General features: G+C 33.9%; 1 protein-coding gene across 8 annotated transcripts in view; it reads left to right on the top strand.

The window, feature by feature from the left end:
• The window catches only part of GLRA3 (glycine receptor alpha 3), a 192,328-nt gene that overhangs the window by 51,357 nt on the left and 115,513 nt on the right, over window positions 1–25,458 (top strand). For all 8 annotated transcript variants that reach the window (XR_001741329.2, XM_047416196.1, XM_047416195.1 and 5 more), the window contains one exon: window positions 10,861–10,928. Coding sequence is in view for 7 of the 8 variants with exons in the window: in XM_047416196.1 (XP_047272152.1) it covers window positions 10,861–10,928 (68 nt within the window). In the remaining variant the exon portion in view is untranslated. The remainder of the gene's footprint in view (window positions 1–10,860; window positions 10,929–25,458) is intronic.

Genomic DNA, 25,458 nt, shown 5'->3' with positions numbered 1-25,458 from the left:
TTCTGACTTTTTTAAATTAATAGACTTGTTTTAAAGAGCAGTTTTAGGTTTACAGAATAATTGATTGGAAAGTGCATATCTGCCCTCTCCTCCCCAACAGTGTACCCTGTTATTGGCATCTTCATATTCATGTGGTATATTTATTATTATTGATGAACCAAGATTAGTACGTTATGAACTGAAATCCATAATTTACATTAGAGTTCATTTTTGTGCTGTACATTTTTTATGGGTTTTGACAAATTCATAACAACGTGTGTTTGTCATTACTGTATCATACAGAATAATTTCACTGCCCTAAAATCTCCTGTGCTTGTGGTATGAGTATATCTCTCTCCCACTTCCCCTCATCTACCCCCAGTCTCTGGCAATCAATGATCTTTTCACTGTCTCTAGAGTTTTGCCTTTTCCAGGATGTCATATAATTAGAATCATAGAGTATGTAGACTTTTTCAAATTGGCTTCTTTCAGGTAGCAATATGCTTTTCAGGTTCCTCTGTGTCTTTTCGTGGCTTGATAGCTCATTTCTTTTCATCATTGAATAATATTCCAGGATAATCTGTTTTGTATGCATTTGACATTAAAGAAACTTTATACAATTATCGAGCTCCAGAATTCTAGCTCAGAAGTTTGCAGATGTTGATTCATTGCCTACTGACATTTAATATCATAAAGAAGTCAAATCTCATTTTGATTTCTGCTCCTTTATATATAGGCTATTTTTTTCTGCCTATCTCTGGACATTTTTCAGTAGGAGGATTTTTGCTTATGCTGGCACTGTTTTGTGTCATTTCTGTAAAACAATATTCTTTATTTTTAAAAAATCTGCTATCTTCCCCAGTCATCTGTGTCTAACACATTGCCCTCATCCCCTTCTCTCCTTTCTCCTTTCCCTCTACATTATAAACAGAATTGTTCAGATTTGTCCTCAGTTACATGGTGCCATTTATCCAATTTGTGAATGTTTAGGGAGATTTTAACTCTGTAATTGTGTTTTGGTCTCTTCACAATCCTCTTTATCTTAAACCATTTTCCTTGAATGCGAAGTTGTGGACGTTGTGTTACAAGCTGCTACGCAGGTGCTATTTTGTATGTTTATTTGCTTGTCAGTTTTATTTATGACAATAGTAACAATCATGTCCCTGAAGCTGCTAAAAAAATGTCTACAAGTGTCAATGATGAAAAGCAGCGGTTCACCCTCAACACTAACGATGCACAGTTCTACTTCTTTGAGGCAAACACTCCAAAAAAATTGGTTATTTCTGTTGATTGTCTGTTCTAATTTGTTTGATTGCTTTCTAGGCCTTTCACAACACAGGCATTACGAGATTCCTTTGCACTAAGTAGACTGCTAATTTAATGCGTCTTTTATTGCATTCTGCCCCTTTTGTTTTTCTTCTCTGCCCAATGATTTGTTGCTTCTTCCTGCAGGATAAATTATGTTTATTTATATTGTTCATTCTCTTTAAACCACTAGTTTTCTTATGTGTGATAGAATGTCTGTGATTCAGGAAGAATTGAGGGGTGATTAGCTTGGGTGCTATAGGAGGGCCATTTTTCTGTTATTTCTCTACTTCGAAAGGGAACTCTGACACAGGCTGCATTGCCCTGGCCAGAGCTTTGCTTTAGGTGAGTGTTGAGCTTCGACTAGGCATTATTCTTGGGTCCTGCAGATGGTGAAATAGAGCAGGCTTAAGGTTTGAGGTATTTTCAGGTACTGTGTTTGCCCTAATCATCAAAGAAGTTATTTCCATTTCCTCAAAAATTCCATAGGGCTAAATACCAGGCAACCGTTGCTCAACAGAAATACAGAGGGGAAGCAGAAAGCTCTCAAGACAGATGCCAGGCCCTATCCCTGGGGTCCCCTTCTCACTCTCCACCTCCTTCCCCTCTCCATGCAGTCCCTGCTTGCTTTTATTTTAGGCTTACCTCTGTTTCATTTGTCAACCATTTTTATCTGGCTCTATATTTTATGTCATTAAACTAATTATTATTTTTTTTCCATTATTTTTGGTATGATACATTTATTCTCACTAAAATTTTATTATGTAATGTCATTTTTATGTCTTCAGAAAGAAAGAAAATGACGTTCAATTCTCTGTCTTGAAATAGAAGCTTCAAGGTGTCATCTGAAACTAGAAGCATGTTTAACATAAAACAATTGAATTGCAAGTAAAAGTATGTTTATAAGACAACAAAACATTATTTCACTAGAATATTTTACCCACCACTGCTGGATTTTACTTCTTTCTTTTGATCCTAATCTTGGGGTCCCTCTTATGACTCATAAGTGCAACTTCAGAAAGTATTCCTTCAGTAATCACCCAATTCTGTCTTCCTCCCAAGTATTTATTGCATTTTTGTTTTCTTATGTTATCTCCAATGGCCACTCTCTTTGTATGTAGATATAACTTTTGTTTGCCCTCACGATGTATTTGTGGTTTCTGTCTTTTACCCTTAAATATTTCACTAATCCTTTTCTCCCTTCATCACAAATTGACTCTTTCTAGTACTCTATTCTACAACAACATCCATGCCAAGGGTGGCATGTGTACCCAAACTCATTTTCTACATGCATTTTTATTAGGGTAAATGTTAGCATTTTAAAGGTCTCCTTTACCCATTTTTACTATTCCTATCCACCAAGACACTATTGTTCTTGAATAACATTTACAATTATTTTTGAAAATGGTACATTTCTGTTTGCATTTTTACTTAGTACGAGGTCACTTTAACAAGAAGTATCTCTTGAATAATAAGCTCTTCTAAAACTATACATGTTCATTTGAAATGTTGATGGGGTTAGATTCTAAACCCTGTATTTTTTGTTTGTATTTGCTTTTTGTTTTTAATTAATTATTTCTGTAGTAATTATTTCTCTTTTTTGTATTTTACAATAATCTCAAACTAACAGAAGTGTTACAAGTGCAAAAGCTTTTTTTCTGAACCACTTCAATGTAAGTTGTTGACCTGATGCCCCAATACTTGAGTATTTACTACAAATAAAAACATTCTCCTTGATAATCACAATCTAACCATTATAACAAGAAAAGTAGTTGAATAGATTGCTACCTTCTAATTTGCTGATCTTTATTCAAATTTCATCCACTCTCTGATAATTTATTATAAAAGTATTCAGTTTAGAATCACATCATATTTTATTTGTCATTTCTCATTGTCTTTTTCAGTCTGAACCAGCACTTTATTCTTTCTGTGACTGTCATGATGTTGACATTTAAAAATATTCTTATTCAGTTATTTAGAAGAATATACTTCACTTTGCATTTGTCTGATTCTTCCTCATGATTCAAATTAGGTAGTGCATTTAGCAGGGATATTACAGGAATGATGATGTGTTTTGACTGCATTCTATTTGATGGTGGACCATGTCAGATTTTGCCATTACAGGTTATGATTACCTGATTAAGTTGGTGCCTGCCAGGATATATCTATATATACCCACACATATAAGCATAAATAAACACACACATATGCATGCACACACACACATACACACACACACACATACACACACACATACATTTACACATCGATTTTCTTCTATACTTCTGTATCTATTGAAAACCATGAATTCACACTGTCAATACCATATGTTTAGTCTAGTTTCTAAGTTTCCATATTTTAACTTCCTCTTCCAACAGCAAGAAACCAGGCTCCCATTATCCTCAATATAATTACTTATTTAATCAATATGTAATGAATCTCCCTTGTTTGCTGCTACTTCTTCTTTTACACAAGTACCTTCCTTGGCCTGGTGGGACTCTGAAGCCTTCCTCAGGTTCATCTCCTTGTGTAGATGCCTGTTCAGACTCCAACTCTGCAAGCCAGGATGGCCCCATGGAGACACACACCTTGCCCATCTATGGTTCTAACACCCAACAACAGGCTTCCCTATTGTGGGTGTACATTTTCCTCTCTCACCGGACCTCCAACATTTCCTGCATGTGGAGCTTTTCCACAATGTCCTTCTCTCCTGCCTTAGGTTACTACGACCCCCTCAGCCATCCCAGCACTTAAGCCTATTTTGCACTGCCCAAACAAATGACTTTAGTGCAGCATTTGGGGGAAGGGAAGAGAAGGGAAGGGAAAGAGAAAGGGGAAGAACAAACAGGATTCTGCTTCTATGCCATAATTTACAAACCTTTTTAAAGCACCTAACAGATAATTTAAAATCTGGATTTTAAGTCATCAAATATGCTTTGTGAATAAAAAATAAAATAACGTCTCTCCTTGTGACATGTGTGTGCATTTATCTAAAATAAAACAAGTCTCTAGTTGGAATTATTTTGAAATTTAATCTTTTAGTTGCATTCTGTGTCTTTAAAAAGATAAAACTTTAATACAACACTCCCTGAAAACTTCCTTAGTCATTTTTATGAACATATGAGTTGTTTGTTTGTTTTCTTACTTGCTCTAGGTCTGCCTAGTGAACAATTTTTCCCCAATATGAATAACAATAATATCGTTGCCAAGATTTTGCATTGTACTTTGCTATTCTGCCATCACTTCATTTCTTAAACTTAAGGGCCATCTTCTATTTCTTTAAAAAAAAAAAACATCTAAACGAAAACTTACTGCTGAAAACATCTGCAACTACTGTCATTTGCTTTTAAGGACTATGCCTAAAGTCGTGAACAATTTAAAAGCACAATTTGCCATATGGATGCTATAGCAGTTATTTGCTCTGTTGCTTAACATAGGAGTGTATTGGATAGATATAACAGCTTTTGCATTGGCACAGAGAAGTAGCAGATTGGCCAAGAGCTACTAAACAGGTGCTCTCTGTAATGGCAATAGAAGATTCATAATCTTCTCTGAGCTTCGTTCTCTACACAATTTTTGAATGTCTATTTCAAAGCTAGGATAGAAAGACTACTCCAAGATTGCTGCACTAATCTCATGTGCACCAGAAACCGAAGGGGTAGAACGTGATACCTTTAAAATATTATGATGCTGTATCCATTTCATTCTTTGTAATCTATCTCCAAGGACTGTCATTGTCCTTCGGGGTCAGGTCCATTCTGTCCCCATCCCAGACTATTATCATAAATTTCTGTTTTTTCTGTCTCTATGCTTTTGCCTGTTCATGCAAACATTCACGAGTCATGTTAGTTCCTACACTTCCAAGGTTAAGAATCTGTTATGGCTCCAAAGCTTTCCTAAAGTAAATCCCAAATACCTTGTTATTACATTGAGGAGACTCTATGATCTGAAATGATTTTTATTTCCAAACTGTTTTTTATTTGAATATTTTAAAATTTTAAGTTATTCTTATTTATGCATATGTGTCTATCTATCTGCCTTTCAAGTAAGTGTCTACCATAGTTTTGAAATTTGGAATTAGGATTTGATGTCCAAATTCATTCACCCTTCTTTCTGCTGAAGAAGAAAATATATACACAAGTAAATAGTCAAATGGGAACCAAATCACACTTTTTTATGTTCTAACATCCAATCAAGGAACATGTTATAACCAGGTGGAGAATAAAGTTTAGGCCTGAGACCATTGTGAGTTACTTTACTTGCACGTGAAATTTAGGTTTTGAAGCCAGGCAACTTTTCACCTTTAGGAAGAGCTTTCTGCTTCTTATTGGAGGAATGTTATGGAGGCTGAGGCTGAAGTCTGTTTCAAATACAATGAGGCATTATGATCCCACCTATTAGTGAAAGCCTAAATTAGTCAATTCTTTGACCATTATTCTTCTGTGGAAATGATGTTATTTTCTGTATTTCATCCATCGGCCTTACTATTTGAGCCTCTGGTCAACCAGGGATGTCAGCACCATATTTTAGAAAGAAAACAAATATATCAGAAGTTTGCTCCTCCAAAGACGGTACCTAACACTGCTCCTTTCAGAACCTTAATGGACTCATTAGGATGTGCCACATAACACTTGCTCCCAAGGGACACTGAAATGTGCCAGCACAGATTTCACTAACTTCAGAACCTTGAAGCCTATGCTGAATTTTTGCCTCCATTTTGCCTCTTTCACCACAATTGTCCATAAATATATAGAAACTAATTAAATTTAAAAGACGAGACAAAATGTATTATAGAGAATGCCTCATCCTTTATTCAATGCCTGTGACAAACTAAAATCCAAGAAATAAAGACCCCTTCCCTTTCTAAACTAAAATAAGAAAAATTATCTCCCCACTCTTTTATTTATTTCCGTTTCAGCCAAAAAGATCCCAATCAGGTGCAGCTAGCAGTGGTCTAATAGTAGCTTCCTCCTGGGCCATGTTCCCCCAACATGGCTGTACCCCATCAGCATTTTATTTACAGGTGAATTAACCCAATACTGATGTTCTTATGTTTTCCTTTTTCCAGAGGATATGAGTCAATAGAGCATGACAGAATTTATCTCAAGCCAAATAATGTTTCTCAGATTCATATTGCTATTCCAAGAAAAAAAAAAAGAAAATAGTAGGAGTCTAGTATTATCTGGTGGAAAAAGAGAATAACCTAGAAAATATGAAAGATTGGTTTTAGCTTTTCAAGGATGCCAGTCAGCCTACAGATACTTTTCAGAGTTCATATTAGACTCACATTAAGAAAAAATTATCTTCTGACAGTTGTAACCTCATCCTTTTTTAGGACGGAAATTTCATTTATTTATTTTTTTATTTTATCATTATTATACTTTAAGTTTTAAGTTACATGTGCACAATGTGCAGGTTTGTTACATATGTATACATGTGCCATGTTGGTGTGCTGCACCCATTAACTCGTCATTTAGCATTAGGTATATCTCCTAATGCTATCCATCCCCCCTCCCCCCACCCCACAACAGTTCCCAGAGTGTAATGTTCTCTTTCCTGTGTCCATGTGTTCTCATTGTTCAGTTCCCACCTATGAGTGAGAACATGTGGTTTTTGGTTTTTTGTCCTTGCGATAGTTTGCTGAGAATGATGGTTTCCAGTTTCATCCATGTCCCTACAAAGGACATGAACTCTTTCATTTTTTATGGCTGCATAGTATTCCATGGTGTATATATGGAATTTTGTTTTAATCATGGAGTAAACTAAGTTTACTCCTCTCCCACATAGTGGCACATAACACACTGCTCTCATCTTACAAATTTTAGAAATTTGTAAATGTTCAGAAATAAGCAATGAAGATATTTTAAAATGTTCATTAGTAACTAAATACAGCGCCCCTAGGATGCAGGTCTTTTATAAGGTTCTTATTATTACATGTTCATCCTTCATATTTAAAACAATTTAACTTCTATACATGTTTGAATTATGTGTTCTAGACATTCCTATGTTTAGTAAACTTTAGGCCCTTTCAAAGTACATAGCATCTACTCTGTTTTATTAACAGTGTTCACCGAATTTATAATAGGCAACGCTTTTAATGAAATTAATAGCCTGGAATTTTCAATGCTCCCAAGCCCTGACTCCTCTCTCTGTATTTTTCTATTTCTAAGAAAATCTCTGATAACCCTGTAGTATAATGGCCCCAGATATTTTCTAGTCTGTAATTCCTTAGGATAGTGGTTTCCAAGCATTCTTGCACATTATAATGACCTAGGAAGCTTTTAAAAATACTGATGCCTTGGTTGCATGCCATACCAAGTAACATAGGTGAGAATTAAGCATCTATGGTTTGTAAAGATTGCCAGGTGATTTCAATGTGTAGTATAGGATTTAAAGGCCTTTGAAACCTAAACTTTATTTTTAAATAATTTTATTGATTTTTCCTCTACCTTAATTCAGCAAGATAAATAGCCATCTAGAGAATAGGTTGAAAAGCAAATTAAGATGAAAATCATGAACCAGTAATCAAATAAATGTAAATTGCAACTTCAAATGATATTTTAGACCATTCTAACTAATGAAATAGTTTTTAAAAAATATTGGAACAAATGAAACATCCTATTTATTTTCAGAAAGAAAAACAGGTCATCTACAAAATGGCTTTGGGCTTTTCAATGGCAATGCTGAAAAATAGAAAATAGTGAAAAAGTATCTTCAAAATTCATAAGAAGAAAACATTTCCAGCCTAAAAGTTTCTACCAACTCTAGCTATACATTAAGTGTGAATGCAAAAAAACAGACATTGATGAACAAGGACTCTCTCAAAAGCTTCATAGCCTTATGCAGCATTTGTCAAAACATTACTGGAGCATATGTTCCACTAAAATGAAGAAATAAACCAAGAAAGAAGTATGGGACCATGAACGAGGATCCCACAACAGAAAGCTATGGAAGTAATTCCTAGCATGATTGGGAGGTCATAGAACGATTGCTTTGAACCAGAGCAAAACATTCTCATTACATTCCTCTGTAAATCCAGAGGAAGGTAAAGTTCATAGAGAACCTGATGGATCTGTACATATTGAATCAAAACTTAGACATTTCAGGGCTTGTGGATAAGTTAACGATTCATGTGGAGAAAGCTATGTGAAATATTATATATGAAGCAATTGCCAATATCAGGAAAATGTTCTGCAGGAAAGGAAAAAGTAAGCATAACATATTCTATTGTTTGGCTGGGGTAAATATCTACCTTGTCATATTAATGTAAAAAGTGAATATTGATCTAACAAAAAAGACCAAGCCTTTTTTCATACAAAAATATTGGATAACAGGAAGACAGAAAAAAGGCTTATGTTAGTAGAGATAGGGATGATGTATGAAAAAAGGCTAAATCTTTATCTTCTTTGTGGGCATCAGAAGATGTGTCTAAAAGAAAAAACATATTATGTAGAGAAATTGAGGTAAATATCCGAAGAATTGATGATTAAATGAATTGAAGTAATTATCTCTGAAAAAGAGGGAAACAGAAATAAGTCAAGGGGCTACTAGGCATTTTTGTAGCAAACCTTGTAAGATCAATTTACTCAAAAATTACGCTCAGTTTAAAAAAAAACAAAGAAATTAGTCTTAGATATTAGTTTCTGTATGTGGTGTTCTCCGACTAACTTACATAGAGTGTAACTCAGAGCTATTTTAGCCCCTAGCACAAAATATTTTTACGTTTCTATTTATACAGGTATCTGCCTAATAACAAAGTTTGTGGCCAGATAATGAAATGTTTTGAAGGTCATATAAACAAGGTGGTGGGAAAAGAATGATTTCTAGAATCAGAGCAATGGTTCACGTTCTAAATGTGCTACCTACTGGCATCTTACGTAGGGTCACTGTGCTTTAATTCCCTAAAATGTTAATGATGGAATATTTCCCTCTTTCAGAGTTACTATGGATTAAATATCTATGAATCAGCTAAGGTAGTGCCTGGCAGCAAGAAACTTACAACAATTTACCAATTTCTGCTCCTCCTTCTCTGCTAGATGATAATCTTTTTGTGTCTTCTTCAGTTTTGTGTGCAAAGGCTTTGGATATTTAGTAAAGGAATGAATAAATGGGCCTTATAAAAATAAAAATCCTTGGATTTATGATGAATACTAAGTCGGGCATTAATAAGAAATTTCCAGAATGGAGGAGTGAGAAACTCAATAAGTTCACTTCTCCAAAAAAGCAACAAAAACATTGGCAAAATTGTCAAGATTAACCGTTAGAACTTTTAAAATTGATAAAAAGCTTACAACAACCTGAAGAGTGTTTATTCAAGAAAAACTGATGAATTTCTGTAAGAACAGAAGGGATATTAATTTCACCGACCTTCCCAGTTCCACAGCAGCCTTGCAATCCAGCCACCCCTAAACAATAGAAGTTGTAAAACCACCAGAGCTGGCTGACCAAGTTTGGAATTCCTCAGAAGGTCCATCCCCAGAGCTTTGTCAGTATTCTGCCTGTCTGGTAGCTCCCTGGAAGAGCCTCACTCAAAGAGCTTTCCATTATTTGACTTCACTAAGAACTCACTTGGTGGGAAAAATTTCTATCTCTAGGGCATTTGTGGAAAATAATTAGAAGATTGTTTAACATTGTAGCTGCCTAAGGCTGTGACACTAGTTGGGACAAGTAAGAGCCTGAACAAAAATTATAAAGGACCTGGAAAATTCTATGTTCTTAGGCAGCTCTGAAAAGCTCTAACATATCCTTGCAATCTGGAGTTTACATATGCACATAGGGCTGTGTGCCTGTCCAGGGAAGTCCTCAGAGAGTCCCAGTATCTCACTTCTGGTGGACATCAGGCTCTGTGCAAGCAGGAAGTGAAGGGTAAGGTAGAGTTGTAAACTGCCTGAGCACTGAAGACATGTCCCCAAACCCATGGAAGACCCTTGGCAAGAGTGGAAGATTTATTGGCTCAAGGCTTTAAAGAAATCTCTAATCAAATATTAGTTTACCACTAAGCTCACTAAATGGAGATTTCACTGGCTGTGCACTCTAGGGAAATGAAAACTTTACCATATTGGTCCAGGTAAGTCACTAAAGAACAAACAACAACTGCAAGAAAAACCAGCAACAACAAACTTTGGATTGGAGGTGGGAAGGCCTGGTTTCCAGAGTTGCCACTTTATGTTACCTAAAGTATTCAATTTTCAACAAAAAAAAATATAAGACATGCAAAGAAATAGAAAAGTATAGCCCATGCAGCGGGGAAAAGATCAATAGAAACTATCCCTGAATGAGCTTAGAAACTGGACTTACAGCATCAGGCATTACAGAGCCATTAGAGACATCTAGATTTTAAAAACTAAGACCAAGAGAGGTAAAAAAATGATCAGCATCAGTGTTCCTTGTGAACCTTGTGATTCTCAGTACATATTGTTGTGTGGAATTATTGCTTCAATTTTAAGCATCTGTGTGTGTGTGTGTGTGTGTGTGTGTGTGTGTAAAATGGAATAATAATAATGGAATGCAAGGAATTATTTGAAAATGTTTTAGATAAGTCTCTAAACAGCCCTTATGTTTTCATCTCTTTTTCAGGCCCTCCAGTTAATGTCACATGCAACATATTCATCAACAGCTTTGGCTCTATCGCAGAGACGACCATGGTAGGCATTTTACTTTGCAACAAGTTTCACACTAGAGTAATCTGTAATTACATTAATGGCAACATTTTATGTAATTTAAAACCCAAATTAGTATAACAAGATTTTAAAATGTAAAATTAATAGTATAATTAAATTACAGTCACCTGCAGGTAATAACATTTCAGTTAGAGATGGTATATTAGAGTATATAAATATAAGTGAAAACAACATTGATTTTCTCCATTCAACAATCTAATATTAAACTTCAAATTAAAAGCTAAAATGTCACCATAGCAATTATTTTTTTCCAATAATCTTTAATATCCAGACATAAGCAGAGTAGTAAATACTTACATGTTTACTCTGTACCCCACTTACAAATTTGTTTATAATGTTATTTTAAATATTCAATTCGATTACTTTTTCAAATGAATATGGTATTTGCCAAAACATTATACTTATAGATTTTATCAACTGTATTTGAAAACATTTTATATAATCAAGTTATTAAAGCCAGAAAAACATAAAAATTGTCATTACAGACCAAATTTCTTCTGTCTTAAATTTTATAGCTTTTTCTAAAGAGCACATGGTATCTCTGCTTTGCCCTTTAGCTTTTATTGGGCAATTTAACTGTAATAAAATGCAGAAATAGACACATGAACCACTGAACATCTATAAAATTGTCTAGCAGCCAATTTTATTTTTTTTGAAACTGTATAGATGATGATTCTTAAATTAGCTAGAATTGTCTTTGTAAATTTAGTAAGTATGGTTTGTGATACTTCTCAAAGTTAATATTAACTAAAAGATGATATAAAATACTTAAGGATTTATTAGTTTAAAAAACCAATATTAGAGAATTATGTTCTATTTACTTAGAATAGTAAATAGGTAGTAAATTTTCTAGGAAAAACAATCTAATATGCAAATTTTTACATATATGAGGGTGTAAGTGTGTGTAGAGGTGTGTGTGAGTGTGTGTTGGAATCTATCTCAACAGGAAGAGGCTTTATACAGGCATCATTTAAAAAAAAAAAGCTGTTTCCCTCATGTATGCAATATAAGTCATTTACCAGCATCTCTGTGATTCTATTCAAAGTTAGTATAGCTTAACTACAATAAGCATTTGTGGAAAAGAACTGAATTTAAATTTGGAGGCATTATATAGAATTATCTTCAATATGATACAATCTAAGTTAACATGAATGTGTGTATATGAATGTAAACGCAGAGAAGACGTATGTCATTTGGTTAGAAACAGTCTGGTTCTGGTGCAATTTCTTCTCTAAAGTGGCTATAATCCTGTTTTAGACTTTGATATATTCTAGATTCTTGTGGAAAAATTGGCCCTGATTTATACCCAACATTTGTACATATTCAGTCCATAAAATCCACAGTTGAAGGAATCACTATTGGCTTTGTTCTATTTAGGCTTCTCAAATTGTATTTCCAGCCCTGGCAATTTTCTCATTTTGTTTCTATACATGTGTAATCCTAAAAACCTGGAAATATACTTCTCTATATTTTTCTTTTACATGATTGCGTCCATGAAATACTTCCCACAGCAATAGCTGGAAAGATTTAAAGTCTTACCCATCTTTATGGGGTAGGGAGGGAAGGGACTTGGAAAAAAGAGAGGGCATAGGCAGATTTCCTTCCCATTAAGACTTAAAGATTGCCAGTTTTCTGAAAGTGCCTTTTTTATGACATAATTCATCAGTCTACCACTAAAACTGTTATAACACAATCTATAAGATGGCTACACCAGTTAAATTTCTTACCTTAACAATTTAGCCAGACTTTATAGAATAGCATTCTGCAAAAGCTTGCAGGATATTGCAAACACACTCTCACCATAAGTTTTATTTCTCTCCTTCAGCATGCAAGCCTTTCCTTACCTACATACTCCATCATTATGTATTCCTTTTGAAATCACTTTGAGCATCTATCACTCACTTCTTCACAGTCTCAAGCAGTGTCAATGAACATTGTTCAAATATCCCAGAAGTTAAGTATTACAAACCTAATCATGTCCACCTTGGTATTTTTCTTTTTATTCTTCCAAATTTCTAAACATATATCATTTCCATTAAAATGATCAGATTCAATATTTATTAATTTTTAATGGTATCAGCTAAAATAGCTGTGATTTTGATGTTCATCTATATAGGCACAAAGAAAATTAGAACTTGTTAGTATATTTCTATCATAAGAATCATAAAATGTTTTGCTCCCACTTGGTTAAGTTGTTGTATTTTATTCACAGGGTCCACTATCACGACTCTACAACAAAACTTTATCTCATTATTCTATTGCTGTATTTTTTTAATTCAGTAAAAATGCTAATATATGTGTTAATGTATTTTTTAAACTTATTCACACTTCTTACGCTGAATATAGTTTACTTCTGTTCTTTTTTTTTTTGAGACGGAGTCTGTCGCACAGGCTGACTTCTGTTCTTATAATACGAATAATTGAATTCAACTAAGGCAGTCAATTAAAATTGAGAGGATGGAATCTCAAATTATCTGTAATCATTAATGAATATATTTATGTCTGAGAATTCATATTTAAAATAAAACTACGTAATTATCCTCTTCCATATGTGTCTGCTTAACAAGAATCTTAACTGTCTTCAATGTCTTTACTGGCTAAATATATTGAGCTCCCTCTGCTGGTCTAGTCTATAACTGGTATGTCTCACTTTTAAATACAGCTCTCCCATTTGAGGTTATTCTTTAATCCTTGGGAAAATTTCTCTATTAGTCTACTTTTTAGGCCACTTTTTGTTAATTAAGTTAATTCAAACAATGTATTTTTCATATTTTTCTTGCACAAATTTAAAAAAATGCGTGTGCAGTTTAACAATATAAACTCAAATCTCTTTTTAGCTGTTAAACTCCTTTCCCAATATTGTTAATCTGATTAATTTCATGTAGTACCAACCATTCTCACTTGAGTACAGTTTCATTATTTTACACATAGTCACCAAACTTTTTTCTACAAATATTATGAGCATTTTAACTTCCTTATTACCCTCATATATGAGTCATAATGAGATTCTTTAAGGACTTGTTCCACCTCAATTATTTCAAGTTCACATTCTTCTTAAACAGATAATGATTTAACAACTACTGGAAATTCCCGTTCTTAAAAATATTAAATTAAAAATAAAACTAGTTTACCATCATTACTGTTTGGGAACATGGTCTTGGCGAGAGAGGCACATCTGTCCTGCCTTTTAAACTGTGATGATAAAAGAAGCACGTGATTATTTCAATGAGGGGAAGCTTAAGATCTCCACATTAAGTGGCTTTTATATGAAGTGTGCTCCTGCAAACCTATGATGAGTTGTGGATAAGGCTTATGTGCCAGGATGAAAGCATTTGTTAAGTTGGGTCTAACAATGCAAAGAAATGCAAATGCAAAGAAAGGTTTTCTTTGGAAATATACGCAAAAACCAAATTGTAATTTGGTGCATACACACAGACCTGGCTGGTCTTCAGGGTGTCCACAGAACAAAAGAAAAGATTGGGGTTTTATTGGTTAAGAGAAAAGTTTTGTAAAATGTTTTGAAAGAAAGTTCATTGGCCTAGACAAGTTCTTCCAGCTTTGGCAAGCTGTAATTGTTGAGTGATGGTGGTAGGTAAAACTAATCTTGGTGGAAGGTAAACTAATCTTTGAGGCATGGAAGGTAGCAGTTACATGGAAGCAGTTACTAGGTAAAATGGGTTTTAAGATATAGCAAGTTATTTCTGCAGCCTGGCTTGCCAGACAGTTCCTGGAGCAGGAGCTTTGTGACCTGAGTGCTTTTTCCCCATGGTCCTTAACTCCCATCTAGTTGGGTATGACTGTAATAACCCCAAGTCACATCATTAATTTTCACAATTGAGACAATGGAATATTACATAGCAACAACATGGATATTTCTCATAAACATAATTATGAGCTAAAGAAAACAAACACAATAGAACATGTACCAATTACTTCCGTTTGTATGAAGTTCAATAACATGAAAAAATCAATTCTGATGATAAAAGACTTCTGAATTCTGATAGACTATCTTTGGTCAGGGGTGGGAGGTGGTTGGTAACTGATTGTGAGGAGGTACCACGGAGCCTTCTGGGTACCAAAATTGTTCTATTTTTTGATCTGGGTAGTAGTAACACAGGTATATGCATATGTCAGAATCTTTTAATGGACACTGCAGACTTGTGTATGTTATGAATGGCTGTTATATCTTAATTCAAAAGATTATTTAAAAGTAAACAAAAACCTTCACAAATTTAAAATTTAACACGCCAAGTGTGTCAGGCAGAGCATATCTATTTGGTGATCACAGGTGAGAACGTTAGAAGTTAGACAAAAAGCTTTAAATGAAAGCTTTTATTTTTCATCAGAAAAAGTCTGCAGGACTATGAATGTCTACAGCATTAATATGTGATTTCTCTAACCCTATGCCTTCCAGTACTTAAAATACCTAGTTATAAGAACCAAAAATGAATAATCTTGAAGAAAAAAATCACTGAGATGATAAGCAGCTTCCATGATATAGGTAAAAGGGAATTCCATTTGATCTGATCTGGGGATGGGGGCTGGCTATAGGTGGTCCAGATGTTCTCAGCTAACTGTCAAACTTTTAAGAAAAACTCCAAAATAGAAATATGTATATATATACACACACTATGAAGCATAACTATGACAGAAGCAAGAAAGAAATTTCCATCATAGAAGCACCTTATGGGACTGGCTACACCCACGATGACATTAAAAGTCCATTATTTATTTTAAAATTTGAAAAAGAGAGAAAACAACCACCCATAACGCCCCCACACAAACCCAGCACTATTAGCAGTTAGCTACATTTATATTTACTTCTAAATGTTTTGACTGCACATATTTTTTACATGGTTTATGCATTCATTCATTCAGTGAATCTTTTTGTGGGAGCATATAATGAACCAAACATTTTGCTAAGCACAAAGGATGATGTAATCATTTTATTCTGACAAATCACTTCTTTACTTATTACTGAATCATAAACTTTTTTCCATTATAAAGATAAAATAATGAGCCTCCTTTTCCTAACTTTTTATTCAATACATATGCAAAAAAGTGCACAAATTATAGGAGTGAAGTACAGTGAATTAATACAAAGTGCACACATTCATGTAACCACACTCAAGTCAAAAGTAGCATCCCAGAGCCTGCTTATACCCCTTTTAAATCCTACCCCTCACAGTCTCCATAGTAGTTTGGGCATGTATATACAGTAGTACAGTATTTTTAAATGAACATATTGGTTTTATCTATCTTCAAAAAACAGATGACTCTCCATCTTGTTACACATATGTTAGAAAGTTAGAGAATTGTGCTGCTATGTGATTTAAATCAATATTTATACATTGAACCATTACTTTTCACCAGTGCCCATAAAATAAACCATTTTTATAAAATGAGAACAAAAAAGATGAGACATTTTGGGTTAATAGTTTTTCAGGTGTCGGTGTACATAGATGCATGGCACATTGGAAGGAAGGATCTGAGGGTCCAGTGTGATCTCACAGAAGTGTCCAAACCTACAGTTTTTCAATTTTCATACAAATGATAGGCTCACATTTTACTTGCAACAGTAAGCACTTATATATAAATGCTACTTTAAATTATTGAGTCGTTAGATTCTCGAGAGATACCTAAGCCAATACAGCATAAAAAATGATATTATCTATCTATCTCTCCATATATCTATATATATGTTAAGGGAATCTTTAAACTACTAGACATTCTTTTTGAAGTATTTTTTATTAAAAAAAAGTTACAGGCATACCAAGATGCATGGATTATAAGTAACACTAAAAAAAACTATCACCATCTTAAGAAATTAAACAGTACAAATACATGAAACTTCCTTTCTTAAGGTAAGCTTTATTCCTGAGTTTGATATTAAGATATAAATGTTCATTCTGTATGTATGAAAATATAATCAAAATGACCATATTGAAGTATACACATGTAGCTTAGTTTGGCTTCATTTTTCAGGTATAAATTTATGTTTTTTTTGAGATACTCCATGCTTGTATATGTAGACAAGGTTTTTTTCATTTTCATTTCAGTATTTCATAATATATTTATCCATTCTACTTTGCTAGACATGTAGGTTGTTTCTAATGTTTTCAATACTACAGATCATCTCTGCATTGAAAATCATTGCATAGGGCGGATCACCTGAGGTCAGGAGTTCAAGACCAGCCTGGCCAACATGGTGAAACCCCATCTCTACTAAAAAAACAAGAATTAGCCGGCAGGGTGGCAGGAGCCGGTAATTCCGGCTACTCGGGAGGCTGAGGCAGGAGAATTGCTTGAACCCAGGAGGCGGAGTTTGCAGCCAGCTGAAATGGTGCCACTGCACTCCAGCCTAGGCTACAGAGCCAGACTCCCTCTCAAAAAAAAAAAATCATTGTGTATTACCTTCTAATATAGTATATATATGCAAGCTATTCTACAGGGTATATTCCTAGGAGTGAGATAACTTGGTAATTACTTGGAAATTACTAAATTGCTCCCCATTCAAATTACTAAATTGCTCTCCAATGTGGTCATTCTGTTTGAAGCACCTATTAGCAATTTTATGAGATTTCCTATTGTTTTACATGTTCTCCAACACTTAGTATTTACCCACTTCTAATTTTTTAACTTACATAATGGTTGTAAAGTTGGACTTAATTCCTGCTTATCATGTACTTCCTTGATAAACAGTGAGGTTAAGCATTTTAATAAATGATTCAGATGTTCTTTATGCAAAATGCTTCTTAATATATTTTCTCCATTTAAGGTTGCTTGTTTTTATTATACACACACAATTAACACATACACACACAATATTCTGAAGATGAATACTTTGTCAGCTATATGCATTTTAAACATTTATTCTACTCTTCAAGGCATTCTTTTTGATGTATAAATAATTTTAATTCACAAAATTTAACCTTGTTTGCTTAATACTCTATGCTTCTTTGCCATAAGAAATTCTTCTCTCACCCAAGTGCATAAAGATATTTTCTTATACTATCTGATAAAAGAGTTTTGCTTTCTTGTTTAGGTTTTAGTCCCCTTGGAGTTTTGTACAGTTGTATATGTATACGTACATGTAATTTGTAAGGTAGGCATTTATTTTCATTTCACAATTGAATAATTACTTCCAATAATTTGTAATGAAATTTAATGGGTCGGTTTCAAGTTCTATGCTAATGATCTATTTGTCTATGCCTGCACTGATATCACGTTGTCTTGTTTAGTACAGTTTATATTAGACTTGATATTTAATAGGACAACTTACCAAACACACAGTTTAAAAATTCTGTTTAAAGTATTAATTAGTATTCTTGGGAATTGGCTTTTCATAAAGTTTAGAATTATCTTGTCAAATTCCACAAAATAAACTTGAGTTGAATATAAAGATGAGCACTGGGGAAACTGTCATCTCAAACTACTGAGTCTTTCTGTCCATGAATACGATGCATCACTCTCTTTATTTAAATATTATTAATATCATTTAACAAAGGCATATGCCTCATAAATTCTTGCATATCTTTTAGATTTAATTATTTATACTTCATTATTAAAATAGGCTTTTAAAATTATAACCTTTTAGTTATTTTTTAACACTTCATTGTCAATACATAAGAACATGATTATTTTTTACATTGCCCAAAATACTCTCATTTTAGTCCTCATGCTTTATAATTTCTTCATATAATTACACCACCTAGGAATAGTAACATGTTAATTTCTTCCTGTCAGTACTTACACACTCTGCCACTTTTTCTTGTCTTGATGTTTCAACAAAAGCAATGTTAAATGAAATTGAGTTTATTCCTGGCTTTAAAGAGAATATTTCTAATGTTTCCAAAATAAATATGGTGTTTGCTTGAGTTTGCTATAAATATCCTTTATCAAAATTCAAAGTTCTCTCTACCATACTTTCTGAAGAATATGAAAAGCATTAAATACAAAACAAACATAAAATAGGTATTAAGTGCTCTAATCCATGAACATAGTATATCAATTTATTTGCCTTCTTCAGTTACTCAGTTACTCAGAACTATGTTTTTCAGGGGTTGTCATATCTCTTAGTTTATTCCTAAGTATGGATGCATGCTTGTACATGTTATATTTTAAAAATAACCTTTTTATTTTAGAATAGTTTAGGTCTACAAGAAATTTGCAAAGGCAGTACAGAGAATTTTCCTAGATCCCATGCCCAGTTTCCTCTATTATTACCATGTTACATTAGTTAGGATGATATATTTGTTAACATTTGTGAACAAATATTGATGCATTATTATTAATTAAGGTCTGTGCTTTTTGGATTTCTTTAGTTTTTACTAATGTTATTTTTCTGTCCCGTTATCCTATCCAGGATACTACATTATATTTAGTTGCCATGTTTCCACAGGATCCTCTAGATTGTGAAAATTTTTTACATTATTTTTATAACCTCAACCTGAGTATTAGTCAGGTATTTTGTAGAATGTCTCTCAATTGGGTTCATAGATATTTTTCTTATGAATAGATTAGATTATGAGATTTTTGGAAGGAAGCCCACAGAAGTAAAGTACCACTCTCATTACTTTTTATCAAGAGTATATACTATCAATATGACTTATTATTGAATATGTTAAGCTTGATTACAGCCCTGAGGTGGTATCTGTCTGATTTTTCCATTGTAAAGTAACTCCTTTTTTTAACCTTCACTGTGCTGTTCTTGTCATAGTCTGTTTTGCATTGCTATAAAGGAATACCTCAGGCTGGGTAATTTATAAAGAAAACAGTTTTTTGGCCCATAGTTCTGTAGGCTGTTCAAGAAGCATGGCACCAGCATCTACTTCCACTCATGGCAGAAGTAGGAAGGGAACAGGAGCCAGCATGAGGAGATTACAGGACGAGAGTACAGGAAAAGAGAGAGGGAAAGGTGCCAGACTCTTTTTAACAAGCAGTTCTTGCGGGAACTTATATAGTGACAACTCATTGGTTACCATGGGGACAGCACAAAGCCATTCATGAGGGATCCACCCCCGTGACCCAAACATCTCCCACCAGGCCCCACCTGCAACACTGGGGATCAAATTTCAACACGAGATTTGGAAGGGGCAAATATCCAAACTGTATCAGCACTCTTTGAAAGTAAGTCACTGCATGTAGCCCAACTTAAGGGGATAAAGAGATTATGTTCCACCTACCTGAGGGAACCATTTCTGCATATTATTTGAGATTCTTTGATAGAGATTTATTCCTTCCCATTTTTTATTTATACAATAATTTATTCATATCAATATAGACTCTTGCACATTTATTTTATGCTTTGAGTTAAAATTCTAAGCTATGTTATTTAATTTGCTGCTCAAATTGTTCAGTTTGGCCACTGGGAGTTTATTCCCTTAGCTTCTGTGTCTCTGACACATTCCTACCACTTTGGTTTTTGAGCATTTGTGTTCTGTAAATATAAGATGTTCCAGACTCATCTTGTATTTTTCCCACCCCAACCATAGATCAGTCATTTCTGCAAGAATTCTTTTTCTTTTAATTGGAGAATGGTAGTAGAAACCCAGATCTGATCACCAGATGTGTTCATTGCTACAGAGGTTTCATTGCGTCTAGGCTTCACAGCAGACAGAGCTTGGAAGTGTGTGTGTGTGTGTGTGTGTGTGTAAATGTTGTATTTTAAATTTTATTTACCAATTGTTTCTAATTAATATATGGGCAAACAATAAATTTTGCAATATTGACATATTCTCAACTTGATAACTTAATTCAATAGTTCTAGTACTTTTCCAATTTTTTGTATTTTCTATGAATATGTTAATGCAAACTGTTAAGACAGTTGTACTTTTTCCTTTCCAATCCCTCTTACCTTATTGCACTGGTTCAGAACTCCTGTACAATGCTAAATAACAATGGAGAATGGCTACCTTTGTCTTTTTGTTGTTTGACATCAGTTGAAAAGCGCACAGCATTTCACAATTAAGAATGGCATTTGGCCGGGCGCGGGGGCTCACGCCTGTAATCCCGGCACTTTGGGAGGCCGTGGCGGGTGGATCACGAGGTCAGGAGACGAGACCATCCTGGCTAACATGGGGAAACCCCGTCTCTACTAAAAAAAATACAAAATATTAGCCAGGGGAGGTGACGGGTGCCTGTAGTTCCAGCTACTCGGGAGGCTGAGGCAGGAGAATGGCGTGAACCCGGGAGGCGGAGCTTGCAGTGAGCTGAGATCGCGCCACTGCACTCCAGCCTGGGCAAAAGAGCGAGACTCTGTCTCAAAAAAAAAAAAAGAAAAAAAAGAATGGCATTAACTGTAGGTTTCCCATAAATCCTCCTTATTAGATTGAGTTTACTTCCACTGTTGTTTGCTGAGATGTTTTATTATGAAAAGGAATTCAATTTTATTCAATGCTGTCTGAACATTCATTTAAATGATTATGTTTTTCTCCTTCACTCTGTTAATATTATTAATTATATTGATTTATTTCCAAGTAGTAAATCCTTCTTGCGTTCCTTGTATAAATCTCATTTGACCATAATTTATTATTCTTTTTATATATTGCTAGATTTAAATTTCTAATATTTGGTTTAGGATATTTGCTACTGTGTTAACTTTGGATGTTGAACTATTATTTTCTTACAATGTCAAGAGTGGCGTGTGGTATCAGTATTATGCTGGTTTCCTAAAACTATGTTGAAAGTGTTCCTTTTTCTTCTACTCTTTAAAATGGTTCATGTAAAATTGATGAACTGTTATTTCTTCCATGAGTGTTTATTAAAATTCACCAGTAATGCCATCCAAGCCAGTCATTTTATTTGTGTAAAGGTTTTAAGTTCCAAGTTCCATTCCTTAGATATAAAACTATTCGGTTTTTCATAGCATCAGTTTTGTAATAGTTTTGTTTTTCAATGAATTTTTCCTTTCCTTGTCAAATTATTTACATACACTTACCACATCTTATCTTGCAAGATGAGAAGTCTTTGTAATGTTTCCAATTTTATTATTCTTACGGGTAATTTGGTTTTCACTCATTTTTTAAATTAGTTTATATATGGGTGTATTTTTATTCGTTCTGATAGATATTTTTGCTGCTTTCTGAATTTATAATTAATGTTTATCTTCTATGAATAATAATAGTTCGTTTTTGTCTCTTCATTTGTTCTTTCTGCAGAAATTACTATACTGTATATTCTGATTGCTTTCTCTATATCTTAATCTCTCTGTCAGAGTTTCTATAATATCTCTTTATATTTCTGTGTTTCTATCTCTTATACTTCTATATTTAAGAATTGCCTCTGGTAAATAACTTATTGGAAATTCATAAACATCCCAAATAACTTATAATTCATATCAATCCATTTTAGATTCCTTCACTGAAAACAATTTAATGACTTACATAAAGGCAATTTATTCACAGTCTATGATGATATTTTCCTGTGCTACTTTATTTGGCTTTGTTGGAATTGCCTTTTCTCCTTATGCTAATTTGTCATACTTCAATGACATACTATTATTTCATCCAATTTACTTTTAAGTATCCTTTTTCTTTTTTTAATATTTTGTTTAAAGCCATGAATATTTATTTAAAATTTTGTAATGCAGTGTCCATAGGGCAGCAGTTCTCTGTGATTTGCTCATCATTGTATCATTAACAGCTAGCGACATGCTCAGCATAAAGTAGCTCTTAAGTTTATATTGTCAAATATATGTAAGCATGTATTTATTCTGGCCAAAAAAGACTATTTTTTTCCAAAAAGAGAACTTCATTATGTGTTCTTGACACAAGTGGATAAACTGCTATTTTTACTGCTTTGCAATATGATCTGTTTCTGAATTCTGAGTCCTGATCATTGTCATAAATCAATGCTACAGTCTCTAAAATATGAATTAAGCAGCTAATTGTACAATCAAGTTAATGTTGGATAATATAGCCTTAATGAACTTGGCTTTTTTATTCAAATCTTTCAGTGTAATTCTATAATCTTTCTTCTAAAAGCATTTGCTCTTTCACGCATGTTTATAGAAAGATAATTTTGTGAAAAATGCTGAAATTTTTATGGAGAGTTCTCCATGATAAGAAATTAGAGCTCCTATTTATATAGTGATCCAAGAATAATTTTCAAAAATCAAAAATATTAGGGTGCAACTATTTCATAAACAGGCTAGGTTTTACAGTAATTTTTATCACAACTGAAATAAAATGTGTGTAATTTGAAGAAAAGTCCATTTTTTTCTGTTCTTTTGTAAACTTCCCCTAAAATGTGCCATTGGTCCTTTTTATCTAATGCCAATGGGTTAAATTCTTACAAAGGTACATTTATTCACTATTTGTAAGTACCATAATAGCATTCAGTGGCTATTCCGATGTCATTCATATTTATAAATTCAACAATGTTCATGTAGGATATTATTAGATTGATGCTATTTCAGTTCTTTTGGAACAGCCTGAAAGTATCCTGCTATCCTTTTAATGTTAAAATTATATCTGTTTACATCTTATCCTCCTTCTCTTTTTTTTCTTACTTTGAGTAATAGGTAAAGCCAAACCAAATATAGAAATGGCATGGATCTGGAAGATTTTTAATTCCATGCATGAGTAACCAGTGATTGGCAGAATGATTGTGCTCTGATCTATCACATATAAGCATCAATCAGAAATGGGCTTATTTATGGGGATGCTTGCAAAAGATAAGTATGCATGAATGTTATACACTTTGGTGACCCCATGAGGCATATGAATAAATCTCTGCTTAATGAATTCATCCACCAAGTCATCCTTATAATCATCATGCTCAGAAAGGGACTGTCTACAGATCCTGTTCACAAAGGTAAAAATCTCATACAGAATATCATAGAGAATACAATTGTTTATTAGTGCTATAATGTTGTTAAAACAATGTTAAAAGGCACATTTCCAGTTCTGTGGAGGGAAATGTCAAGGAGAAACTGGTGCTAATGACAACGGAAAAAAAAAATCTGTATCCTGAGAGAGAGTCGTCAGGCACAGACCTCTATAAGCTATCTCCTTTATCAGACTGTATATCATTGTAGAGTTTCCTTTCGACAAGTAAATTTAAAAATTGCATTTTTAAGGCATTTGAAATATTTGGGCTGGGAAAGAGAAATAAAGATTGTAGAGTTAAATGTAATGGCAAAGATATGTGTCAAATTCAACTCTTCTCTTTTCTGCCTCCTCTTAATTTGCAATGGAAAATGACCATTACCTGGTCAAGGATCTCTCTAGAGGAAGGTATCGTAGAGATCAATTAAACACTTCTCTTGGCCACCTCTCATAACATAGAAATGATCAGATTATCATGAACAGATCACAGCAATGCTATTCCTCTTCATTATATTCATCATCATCACATTTTTCTAAGAGAATTTGATTTTCTGAAAGAATCCTCTCCAAAATGTCATTTCAGCCTCTAAAGATAAAATGGGCAGCAAGATTGGGAATTGTGTTCTCTAAGATGACTGGCACTAGTCATAATGTGTTACTTAGTTATGAATCTAGCATGTCAATTAGTGTTAAGTTCTTGGCAATCAATTTAAATTGCAGATAGCTCTTCAGCTCTTAGGCTGAATCTCTGACAGATGTGTGAGTTAATATTAACACTGTAGCTCTCTGGACCGTTCAAACGGCATATTTCTGTTGCTGCGATGAGACTTCCAGGTTACCCACAAAACAACAAGCCAACTAAATGCTTCAGAAGGATTCAAACATGCCAGACTGACAAGAACCTGGGGCTGTGCCACAAGTGTCCTGTCAAGTAGAACAGATGCACGCAAGAGTTAAGCCTTCCTTGTTACTTAGGAAGTCAATGAGAAACTGAAAGATTCCTTCTCAACAATGACATATGTATATCAAAATGAATTTAGTTCTTAAAAATTTGGTTTTAAAACAAAAGGGAAGTTATTCTCAATCTCATCAAGGAGGCTTGATAACATAAGCCATTTGTTCTATGGAGAACATGAAGAAACATGGATTTACTGTCACAAAGGTAGTACTATAATCTGCAGCATCTTTTCAAAAATTTTAGTAGTTTCTTGGAATATTGCCAACACTCCAGAGGCTAGATAAAGCATAAGACAAATAATCTTGTCACAAGATTATATTAAGAGGTATAATTAACAAAAATGAGCTTATAACATATATTAACATTAAGAAGATAAACTGAAAATATTCACTGATAAATCCTGGGCAACCTTCACCCGCAAAACCCATTCACTTTACTATGGATATTAATGAAGTATTAATTTCCTCCTACGGTAAGGAAGACATTTGGGAGTGCTTCCTTCTCCATTAAGTCTTCCAGCGCTTCTGGGACTCTTTTCTATCGTCAAACTTTCGGAATAGTGAAGAATTACTCTCTACCTTTTCCTATAAGGACTCATACCCACCCCTTTCTCTCATTCTCTCTCTCTCCAATGGAGTTGCCTCCACTCCTTAATGATGCTAAGCTGTGACATTGTTTCACTTCCAGTCTCTCAGGAAGCCTCGGA

Source organism: Homo sapiens, chromosome 4 (assembly GCF_000001405.40).
Source record: "Homo sapiens chromosome 4, GRCh38.p14 Primary Assembly".
Classification (NCBI taxonomy): Eukaryota; Metazoa; Chordata; class Mammalia; order Primates; family Hominidae; genus Homo; species Homo sapiens.
Note: the sequence above shows the minus strand (reverse complement) of the source record. Positions and strands in the feature narration are given on the sequence as shown.